Below are 12,268 nucleotides of genomic sequence, written 5' to 3'. Positions count from 1 at the left end.
AGCGGTACATCAAAAAGCTAATCCACCACAATCAAGTAGGTTTTATTTCTTGCATAATATTTCCAGAATGGTATTTCCAAGGTTTTCTTCTAGAGATTTTAGAGTTTGAGGTTTTACATTTATGTCTTTAACCCATCCTGGGTTGATTTTTGTGTATGGTGAAAGGTAGGGGTCCAGTTTAAATCTTCTGTGTATGGTCAGCAGGTTATCCTGGCACTATTTGTTGAATAAGATGTCCTTTCCCCATTGTTTGTCTTTGTCAGCTTTGTTAAAAATCAGATGATTGTTCATGCATGGCTTTATTTCTGTGCTCTCAAAACTGTTCCATTACACTATGTGTCTGTTTCAGTTACTGTAGCCTTGTAGTATGGTTTGAAGCCAGGGAGTGTGATGTCCCCAGCTTTGTTCTTTTTGCTTAGAATTACTTTGGCTATTCAGGCACTTTTTTGGTTCCAAATTAATTCTAGAATTTTTTTTCTAGTTCAGTGAAAAACGTTGTTGGTAGTATGATAGGAATAGCATTGAATCTGTAACTTGGGTTGGGCAGAATGAGCATTTTAATAGTACTGCAAACCCCAAGCTTTGGTAGAGTCTATGTGATATTGGGCCTGTGGGTGTGCAGAAGACAAGAGTTGAGCTTTAGGAACCTCAGCCTGAATTTCAAAGGAGGTATGGAAACACCTGAATGTCTAGGCAGAAGTATGCTGCAGGGGAAGGGCCCTCATGGAGACCTCTGCTAGGGCAGTGCAGAAGGAAGATGTGGGGTCAGAGCACCCATGCAGGGTCTCCACTGGGGCACTGACTAGTGGAGCTGTGAGGAGAGGGCCGTCATTCTCCAGATCCCAGAATGATAGATCCACCAACAGCTCACATCACTCACCTGGAAAAGCTGCACTCAACACCAACCTGTGAAAGCAGCCAGAAGGGAGGCTGTACGCTGCCAAGCCATAGGAGTGGAGCTTCCCAAAGCCATGGTATCCCATCTCTTGCATCAGTGTGACCTGGATGTGAGACATGGAGTCAAAGGACATCATTTTGAAACTTTAAGGTTTAATGACTGCTCTATTGGATTTCAGACATGCATGGGGCCTATAGCTCCTTTGTTTTGGTCAATTTCTCCCATCTCCAATGGGTGTATTTACCCAGTACCTGCACTCCCATTGTATCTAGGAAATAACTAACTTGCTTTTGATATTACAGGCTCATAGGTGGAAGGGACTTGCCTTTTCTCAGATGAGATTTTGAACTTGAACTTTCAGGTTAATGCTGAAATGAGTTAAGACTGTGGGGGATTCTTGGAAGGGCATAATTGTGCTTTGAAATGTGAGGACGTGAGATTTGCGAGGGGCCATGGGAAGAATAATATAGTTTGGCTTTGTGTCCCTACCCAAAATCTCATCTTGAATTGTAATGCAAATTGTAATCCCCACATGCTGGGGGAAGGACATCGTGGGAGGTGATTAGACATGGGGATCATACTGTTCTCATGATAATGAGTGAGTTCTTATGACAGCTGAAGGTTTTATAGGGGCTTTCCCCCACTTTGCTTTGCACTTCTCTCTCCTGCAGCCATATCAAGAAGGACATGTTTGCTGCCCCTTCCACCATAAGTGTATGTTTCCTGGAGCCTCCCCAGCCATGCAGAACTGTGAGTCAATTAAAACTATTTTGATTCTAAATTACCCAGTCTCAGTCAGTTCTTTATAGCAGCATGAGAACAGACTAATACAGTGACCCACCCCTTTATATTTGTCTAACTGAGTTGATTCAATGAACCCATCTCCCAGCTCTAAGATTTTTTCCTCAGCTTAGTCCCTTCTGCTGTTAATACTTCCAGTTAAACAATGAAAGGCTCATAGTGAGTTTCTCAGCTCTTAGACGAGTTTGGGTCATTGTCTTTCTTTCCTTCTTTTTTTTTTTTTGTGTGTGTGTGTGAGATGGAGTCTTGCTCTGTCACAAGGCACCAAGGCTGGAATGCAGTGGTGTGATCTCGGCTCACTGAAACCTCTGAATTCAAGCCAGTCTCCTTCCTCAGTCACCGGAGTAGCTGGAACTACAGGTGTGTGCCACCATGCCTGGCTAAGTTTTGTATTTTTAGTGGAGATGGGGTTTCACCATGTTGGCCAGCCTGGTCTCGAACTCCTGAACTCAGGTAACCTGGCTGCTCAGCCTCCCAAATTGCTGGGATTACAGGTGTGAACCACTGTGCCTGGCAAGAGTTTGGGTCTTTTAAAAAAAAATGACTATTTTGTCTCTTAGCTCTTGTTTCTTTCTAATTGATTCCTTAGATTCTTTGGATGGGCTTTTAACTGTCTCCTGAATCTCAGTAATTTTCATTGCCATCAAGCTTGTGAATTCTCTATTATTTCAGTCTTTTCAGTCTGGTTAACAGCTGTTGCTGGGGAGTTACTGTGGTCATCTAAAGTTAAGAAGACACTCTGGGTTATTGAATTGCCAGTGTAGTTATGCTGGTTCTGGTTCTTTCTCATCTCTGTGAGCTAATGTTCCTTTAATCGTTGAAGTTTGTTTGTTTGTTTGTTTGGATGGGGCTTTTTACTTGTATACTTTGATGCCGTTGAGGGTTTACTATGCTATAAGTTGCATTTAATTGACTGGCTTCATTTCTGGATGATTTCAGGTGGCCAAGGCTCAGCTCAGCTCTCCTGGGATGTGTGCTCTAACACTGGGGGGATTGGGACCTGGCCCACAGCTTTGTTATATGCCCCCTCAAGATGAAGTACCTGCTGCACTGACAGGGCCACAGCATTCTCAGTCCACTGGCAACAATAGTCCAATGGGGGATGCCAACAAAAGTGCTTAATTGGAGCATTTGCTGAGGGGTCCATGTTTACGCACATGTGCACCAGCTGCAGCAGGGGTGCAGTGTGGCATGTTATACTCATACTCACCCTGGCAGTGGCAGGTTGTCAGGGTTTACACACACACACCAGTGGGGCCCATGCAGTTGCAGTGAGGCCTCTGCATATGTGCACACTGACAAAACAGTGAGTAAAGACTGTGCACAGTGCATGCCGGCAATGCAGTGAGGGGGGACTGTAAGTAGGTGTGCACTATTGGAGGTATATTTGCAGAAGCTCTGCAATGAGAGCAGAGTAGTGTTTGCTGCTATGGTGATGGCCACTGAGAAGCACCCTCGTTGGGCATCCAAAGCTGCCCTCCAACAGGGTATGGACTGGCGGGGACCCCAGGAGAGGCCAGTCAACAGGAGAGCATCTAATCACACTGGCATGTCCCACGGGCAAGACAGCCCTTCTCTGTGCAGGTCTGACAATCAATAATGACCAAAGTCACTCAGAGGCATGCGGTAAGCCTTAGGAAATGGGTGTCCCTGGCTGTGCTTCACTGGAACCATTCTTATGTCAAACTATCTGGGCTCTACACATACTGGAATCCTGTCTTTGCTACTTCTCCAAGCAACTCTCCTTGCTAGCTCGAATGTCCATGGGGATTGTGAAGTCTCCTAAAGCTAGGATTCTGGAGCTCTTTGGAAAGAGTAAGCCACTCCATCATATTTAACTCACCCCTTCCCTCACCTCTCAGGGCCAGGAATGAGTCCTGGTGCTCCACAACCCCATGCTGGGTTCCCAGCTTTCTGATCCTTTAGCCCAGTGTCTCCATCCTCTCTCCTTCCACTCTCAATGCTTTCCTTTTGAAGATCTGCTCAGAGTGTGCTGGTTTTCTTGATAGTCAGCTCTTTCAGTGGAGGATCTTCCCGGCTCTGTCTTGATGGCCATTTTGGCTCTTCTGTCTTTTAGGGTTTCCTTGGTGAGTATCAGGTGTTCATAAATTAAGGATTTATATGTTGGGTTTAAAAATCAAGATTGTAAATCAAGATACCTTTAGTGTGATGAAAGGAAGTAAATTATAAAACGTATTTAGGTTACTATGTTGCTCTTAATAAGTAGTCTGGCTGCCACATTTTAAAGTGTCTTTTTTTTTTCCCTATGGTTGTTTTAAGGATTTCTTTTTCTCTGTCTGTCTCTGTCTTTCTGGCTCTCGTTTTCTCTCTTTCTCTCACATCAGATTTATTGTTAAGTGTTAATTCAGTGGTTATTTTTTCCTCGAAATTTACTGTGTTTCTTGAATGGACACATGTATCTTTCATCATTTTGGAAAGTTTAAGCCATTAAGTATTCACATATTTATCTGCTCCATTTATTTTATTCTAGCTCTCTATTTAAATATATCACCTCACACAACTCATTATTTGTGATAACCACTCTTCTACATTTCCATTTTTTCATCTCACTGTATTGAACTGTGCTCATTTGCTTTTCTGATTTAGCTTCCAGTGATCTAGTTCTTTTGCTGTGTCCAAAATATTATCATACTCATGCTCCTAATGTTTAATTTTAGTGATAATATCATTTATCTTTAAAATTTGTTATTAGTTTCATGTTAAAACTGAAAGATTACATTGTATTGTTTTCATTTGGCAGATATTTTCAAATTTACTTCTTAGAACATAATACAAATACATGTTTTTCAATGTGTCTGTAATAATACCGGATCTGCAATTTTTGTGACTTTTTTCTGTTATTTTTCCTGCTACTTATTGCAAAATGTGTCCTGTTTCCTTGCATTCTTTATTAGCTTTGAAAGTATGATGCTTACTGCTTCTGCCAAAATTACTTGGAAGGATTCCTCAAATCCTGGAATGATGACTTCCTATATAGAATCATTTTCTTTATCTTTACTAGGTATCTCTGTAGATTACTTTAAGAACAATATAAATTAAATTAGTAGCTTCCTGCTGTGACAGCCAGACTGTGGACTATCCTTCAAAATCACAACTTTTCCCATTTCTACTATTTAACCTGGTTTATTCATTTTCAGGAAAGCAATCCACACATTTTCCCGGAAGTGGAGGGACAAGGGTCAGTAATTGTTTGCTTTAAACATACTCTGATATTTCAGGCCTTTAAAACAATAGCACAGGTTTTAGGAAGTGGATTTCCAAGAAAACTTCCCATTTTTGCCTGACATTTCTACTACTGCCTTCTCACTTATCCACCATTGAGTTTCTTCTGGATCAAACAACCTTCTTGAAAAATATCCAGATACTTGAGCCCTAATTAATTCTCATACTTTTTTTTTTTTTTTTTGAGACAGAGTCTTGCTCTGTTGCCCAGGCTGGAGTGCATTGGCGTGATCTTGGCTCACCACAACCTCTACTTCCTGGGTTGAAGTTATTCTCCTGCCTCAGCCTCCCAAGTAGCTGGGACTATAGGCATGCACCACCATGCCCAGCAAATTTTTGTATTTTTAGTAGACATGGGGTTTCACTATGTTGACCAGGCTGGTCTCAAACTTCTGACCTCGTGATCCACCCACCTCAGCCTCCCAAAGTGATTTTTGATCAAGTAATTCCTTACATACTTACCATTTTCTTCCTTTAAGAAGATTTTATAAAATATTTATATCTCTATTAATATTATTTGCCTTTACCTGACAGAAGTAGATATGCATCATTTTTTGATGCAGGTGGAGACTTAATAATTGAGAAAAATAATATAATCTATAAGCCTGTAGTAAAGATTAAACCAAAAAATCAAGAGTTTGATCACCTCTGCAGATAAAGGAAATAAATTGATAAAGTTCAAAATTTGCACTACATTTGAAGGAAGTAATTTGAAATCATTTATCTTATAAAGGCTTTATAATCCAAGAATTAAAAATACTCACTTTTTTCCATTTTAGGTATTCACATCAAAAATCTATTACCTAACATATAAAACTATCAAGTATGTTGATTATATTTTTAGTATAGTGGTATTGTTTATCCTGATTTAATCTTGAAGATTAAAAATAAAAATAATGTTAACTTCAGTTAACTGTTCAGGCAAATTATTTTCTTTTTTGATAAAATGTATTTGTGTTGCTACACACAGACATGGAGCTGCAGATTTTCTCATTCAAGTTATTAAAATGCCAACCACCTTTGTAATGCTAGTAGTCACTGCCAAATCAATTTTCATTATATCGGGGGGAAAATACAAATCTTCTTAAAAACTGATATAACTGAAACTGTACGTACATTGTATTATATCACAAAATACATGTAAGTATAATGAAGAAAAATTTGTTAAGAAAGTTTACCAAAGCATTCTAGTTAAGATTACGTTTAGGTGGGTAAGAAATTTTTCATTTCCAAAAAATTACAAAACAACAGTAAATTGAGTTGGTATTTCACAATATTTGAATTGCAATAGTATGAAGTGTGTAGCTAAATGCATGCTATTTATGAGGCAATAGTTATGACAAAGGCATAGTAACATAATTGATTTCCCTTTGCATTCTGAGTTTGAGAATAATTAGGTAAATGACATATAAATGAACAAGAAATAATTCCATTGATCTTATTAGGCATTATTATTAAAGTATACCAGTGTACTTAATGGAAAAAAATGTACATATCGCTATAAATTGTTCTCTCTGCTAACATATAATATTTTAAATTTTGAAAACAGAAAGTTAATGTTATTAATCATTTTATTAAATAAAGCAAAGATATATCAGCCCTAATTATAGTAATTACTTCATGATATGTTTGGATAAACATGTTTATTAAAACAGAATTATATATTTGAAAGATACTATACAACATTTTATTTACATATTTTAGTTGAAGTCTACTGAAAATACACCAGAAAACCTAACGGATACACTTAACATAAGAGAAACATTATCCTACACTGTTCCACTTTTTCAAAGATGTTATTCCTCCTAGTTAATGACTTACTCTAAAAAGAGTATTAGAAGTAGCTGAAAAGAAAGGCTATGTTTAAATATGTGAAGAGGGCAAGTTTGAACATTTAATATTTATTGCCCACCTCTTAGCTTTGTTATGCTCTCAAGTGACTCTTAAGAGAATTTCACACTTCAACAGTATTCAGAGAATAAGAGACATGACATTGTTAAATACCATCAACATGCCTGCTGCTCCATTTTGAAATGTTCCTGAATTCAAAATACCCCAAAATAGTTCAGAATATCTTGCTTCTGATGTCAGTATTTACTCTGAACAGAAATATTTTGAATGAAGAAACACAAATATGTAATGAGGTATAATAGTACCCCTCACTAATTATTAAAGAAAGACTACCCGAAAACTAGATTTATCTTCTTGCTTGAAAAACAAAATCAGGGACACCCCCACAGAAATACAAGACTCTGGATATGAGGGAATTAAGTAATTCCCGGAAGACAGAAAACAAAGGAGTTAAACCCTGCTACTGCCCTAATTTAGTGGCTAGAGTTTCCAGCAGTGGGGCAGAGAAAGTGGGCTCCTAGCATTGTACAAAGCCAAGAGTTCCAGGAGACTAAGGTAACTAGAGTTTCTAGGTCTGAGAAGCTAGACATTCAAAGAGAGAAATCTCTGATATCTAAAGATGTTCTCCTTTCAGTGCTTAGCAGAATACTGATTAGTGTATACATGTGAGTAATCTGCTCACTGCCAGGGAAACAAGCATCTTCAAAGATTAAAAACAAACAAACAATAACGACAACAAAAACCAGTGCCTGACATTCACATATGACCTGGATTATACCTGTATTTGCCAGCCAAATGAAAGAAAAAAAGCTCAATTCACAGAGCATTTGGTAAAGCAATTTAAAAGGTCTTGCCTCAGGGGTAGAAATTAATTACATTTAAACTGAGTACTGAGTTGAACCCATCAAAAAATCATAAAAGAAGTATCTAAAAGGATCAAGCGGTTTTGAACAAATTAACTGTGTCCTAGAGAAAAAGCTCATATTTTGTACAGAAATACAAAATATCCAGCACTCACAAAGATAACATTAACAAAAACTTCCATTATATTAAACTGTAGATAGGTTAAAATTTCTTTAACAGATTCACAGAGACTGGCAGCACAAAGTTTTGTAAGGATTTAGAGCTACTGGAACTCTCATACCTTGATGGTAGAAATGTAAAATGTTTTAAAAACTTCTGAAAACTCTTTGGAAATGTCTTATTTTCTCATAATGTTAAGCATACACCTATACTATGACAAAGAACTCCATTATAAGGTGTTTACAAACCCTCGATCAGAAAAAACATAACCAAAACATAAGTTGTATAAGCATGTATATGGAAACTTTAAGACAGTCAAAAATTTGAAAAATTCTAAATGTCTATCAAAGAAAAGTGGATAAACATTATGTGACATAATCACACAAGAGAGATTATCTTTCACCAATTAACAATTAATGAGCTTTTGATATGCACAATGACACAATTAATCTCAAACACATGTTGAACCAAAAGATGCCAGGCAGAAATTAGTGCACAGTTTTAATTCCAAAAACAGATACAACTACTGTGCAGATATAAGAAAAGTGATTGCTTCATTAGTGAGAGGTATTAACTAGAAAGAGACATTAGGAAAATTTATTGGGTCATATTTGTGCACTTGAATGAAAGCAGAATTTATTTTTGTAAAAATAAAGATGTCAGCAGATATTCAACTACTATACATGTACTGTCACATGTAACCTACCAAGAAAAATGTTTAAAAATACTTTTACAAAATGACTATTTAAATTAAATAAATTTGCAACTATTTGAAAACCAATTTGGCTGTTTTCTATAAAATTAATTATTCATCTACCCAACTTCCCTATAATCAAGTCACTCCTAGGCACTTATTCAAAAGGAGTAAAAACTCTTCTCCACAGAAAGACTTGAATAAGAATTGTAATAATGAATTAACTTTTAATTACCCCAAAATAATAAAGCTGATGTGTTCAACAACAAATAGAAAAAAATCTGGTATATTCATACAAGAAAATACCACCTACCTATTGAAAGAGACCAACTATTTATATATGCAACAGCATTTATGAATATCAAAAACATTATTTTAACTAATATGTACACAAAAGTACATGTTGTATGGTTCCATTCATATGAATTTCTGGAAGACAAAAACTAATCAATTGTAAATAGAATAGTTGTTGCCTTGGGAATGGAGATGCAGTTAAATGAGAAAGAACATGAGTGGACTTTGTGGTATGATGGTTACTACAACATAATAGTAAACATTACTATATTTTAATTACATATGTATATGCATTTGTCAAAACTTATAAATATTACTTAAATTCGTTCACCCTATTTTATGTAAATTTTATATAAAAATAAACAAAACAGAAAAAAATCCTAGTCTTTTTAGGAGTATGATCAAAGTTAATCACAGATTGTTTATGTGTGAATGAACACACAAAAAATATGTATGTGCTTACCTCTCCAAAACGTTGAAGTGTCCACTTGTCAAAGATACCATTAATATTTATTCATTTAACATATGATTCAAACGTTTAAATATTTAAAACAAATATTACCAACACTTTTGGTAAATTGGAAAGTTTAAGTTAATATCGAATTGAGAGTTTTTTTCTCATTTGGTTGATTCATTAATAATTATAATCAGCAAAAAAAATTTGCATATGTTACATTTGGTTATACAGATTCATTTGTGACATATAATTGCAGTATTGGGTAATGACTGATAAAGTTGTATTTTATCAAAACAGCTTTCTGAGTATGTGATATTGTGATATATAAGTAAAAAAAAATGCTAATTCATGAGATATTCTTTCCCTGGAAGAATATGGACAACAGAAATATTTTGTAGCATCAAATTTTAGACAAAAACAGAGGTTTACATTTAACATCAATGTCAATAATAGCGTCAGAATTGATATCAAACTTGAGGAATATTTTTGCCAAAAGTAGGTCTTTCATAATTAATATGAATTGATTTCTGCCAAACGATCATATTTAGCCATGTGGTCAGTAATATAATGTAAATTATATGTAGATATATATTTTAAAGTTGAGGACACCTAAATAAAACATGTAAATTATTTTAATTACATTTTTAATCTATTATATACAAAGTATTTAAGTATATTTAAAACATATTTAATTTAACTAATTTTTTGAGTGATTTGGGCAAAATTCTGTTTTAGTTCATGTATAGACATGCATATATTTGAGTTATTGAAATTACAAACATTTAAGTAGTCTACTCTTAGCATATTATTATGTCCTGTATTCATTAAAACATTAATTGCATTAAATTCAGCTACTATGAATAAATAATCTATCACATATACATTTCAAAGGTAGAAGCATTTCAGTTTTATACAAGGATGTCTTTTTGAGCTGACACAGGTTTCCAAGATTTGAGACAATATCAGAAGATTTATTAAAAATGATATGAGACTGCAACTCCCCACATCACTTTGCTGCCATATATCTGCATGGGTGGGCTTTACTTGCTTCAACAGCACATGGGAATGCAGTGTGCCCCCCATAAGCCCCACCAACCACCACTGCAGATGGATCCTTGTTGGGCACAGAGTCATCAAGCCCCATCTACAAGTGCCCTGCCCTTGTGCTGTGCTGCACACAGAGCAGGGGATCCCCCCACAACCTGAGCAATTGCTCCTGCTTGCAGACCACAGATAAGGCTCCAAGACCTCCACTGGCCAGCACCCCACCCCAAGCCATCACCACCTACAGTGCAGCAGTGCACGCTGTCTCCAGCAGAAGGCCCTTGCTCCCCCAACAGCTGCCTTGCCTCCAATACTGTGGTGAACACCTGCAGAGAGGCAGACACCCCTATATCCACTAGTACTTTGCTGCAGGTACCGCAGTTTGCTATCCCCAGCACAGTGGACTACAAATCTCGAGGAGCCACAGTGTAAGAGATCGATCAGGTTGTTGTGGGAATCAGGAGACTGGAGAGATTGGTAGGTGAAACAGAAGGATTTTTATTGAGTGGACTCAGAACCAGCAGATTAATATCCAAAGACTGGACCCTGAACAAAGACAGCACTTGCCTTTTATACACACTTCTAAAAGGGGGTGGTCTAACTTGAAACAAGCTTACAATGGTGGAAAGTATAATGACACAAAAGCAAGGATACAGAAGAAGAACAAAGGCAGTCAATCATACTATGACAAGTTCACAACTCAGGTTTACATATGACTCTTGCTATGCAGCCCAGATAGCTGTTATCTAGGCTTGCTCCAGTGCTTTACATGGGCTTATCTCATAACCTTTGCTATGGCATCTAGGGGACTGCAATCCAGGCCTGCTCAGGTGTCTCATGTTCTTCACTGTGCTGCTTAGATGAATAACAGAATCAAAAGAGAAAGGAAAATTTGTTTTTCTTCTCCCTATGTTGAGGGAGCCCTGGGAGACTCTCCAGAGCACATTCTTTGAGCCCCGGCTTCTTAGATAATGCTGTTGAGACTTTGCCTGGGCCTGGGCTTTGCCTGTTACTGCCTTTGGGATGAGTCAGCCTAATACAGAAAGATTGTTTCTTTCTCTTTTTAATTTTACTTTTCTTTCTTTAATTTCCGGCCTCAAGGGTGATGGGAGAAGATGTAAGAAAAATTATAGGGAAAGATGCAAACCTTCTTGGAAGGCCAAAAACTTTGGAGAAGAATTTAGCTGAAGGCAGCTAAATTTTCTTAAGGGCAAAGGTTAGATAACAAGGGAATGTAAAGAAACATATCTAGATAAATTGGTTTACTTGTGTCTCAGGAAACCAACTTTTGATCATTCATGTGCAGGACTGCTCTCTACTCAGGGGTCAACAATGTTAATTTCCCACAAATTATGTTTGCTCCAGGTCTTTGTCTTTAAATCTGTACTAAATTAATACAAAGGTCTCTGGCTTAGTGGGATTGTACTCTCATTGGCAATGCTAAGCAGTGCAGTCCCCTAGCTGCATTCTCAGGCAAAATAACTGTGTCTGAATACTTTTTTCATTTGTCACTCAGCCAGAGTCTGCAGGATGGACCCGACACAAGAGAACAAAGCTAGGGCCTAATACAAGTCCCCCAGAGTTAGAGCACACAGTCCAGAAGTTGGGAGCTGAGTGTTGGTGCCATAAAATCTCCCAGAAATGAAGCCAGTCAGCTGAATCTACCTTATAACACAAACAAATCTTCAACATCATCAAATAGGATGAAAGAAAACAAAATACTGTCCAAAGGTAAGCAATCTCAAAGACTGAAGTTAGATAAGTGCACAAAGATGAGAAAGAATCAGTGCAAGAATACTGAAAACTCAAAAAGCCAGAGTAACTTCCTACTTCCACATAACTGCATCACCTCTCCAGCCAGGGTTCAGAACAGGGCTGAGGCTGCAATGGCAGAAATAGCATTCAGAATATAAACAGTAATGAAATTCATTGAGCTATAGGAGTATGTTGTAAGCCAATACAA

The 12,268-nt window shown here is 37.2% G+C and overlaps 1 long non-coding RNA gene across 4 annotated transcripts in view; it reads right to left on the bottom strand.

Annotated features, from left to right (window-relative positions):
* LINC02377 (long intergenic non-protein coding RNA 2377) overlaps nt 1–12,268 on the bottom strand; it is a 338,568-nt gene that overhangs the window by 23,990 nt on the left and 302,310 nt on the right. For all 4 annotated transcript variants that reach the window (NR_183920.1, NR_183918.1, NR_183919.1 and 1 more), the window contains one exon: nt 881–1,001. This is a non-coding gene — a long non-coding RNA (long intergenic non-protein coding RNA 2377). The remainder of the gene's footprint in view (nt 1–880; nt 1,002–12,268) is intronic.

This window comes from Homo sapiens, chromosome 4, assembly GCF_000001405.40.
Source record: "Homo sapiens chromosome 4, GRCh38.p14 Primary Assembly".
Taxonomy (NCBI): Eukaryota; Metazoa; Chordata; class Mammalia; order Primates; family Hominidae; genus Homo; species Homo sapiens.
Note: the sequence above shows the minus strand (reverse complement) of the source record. Positions and strands in the feature narration are given on the sequence as shown.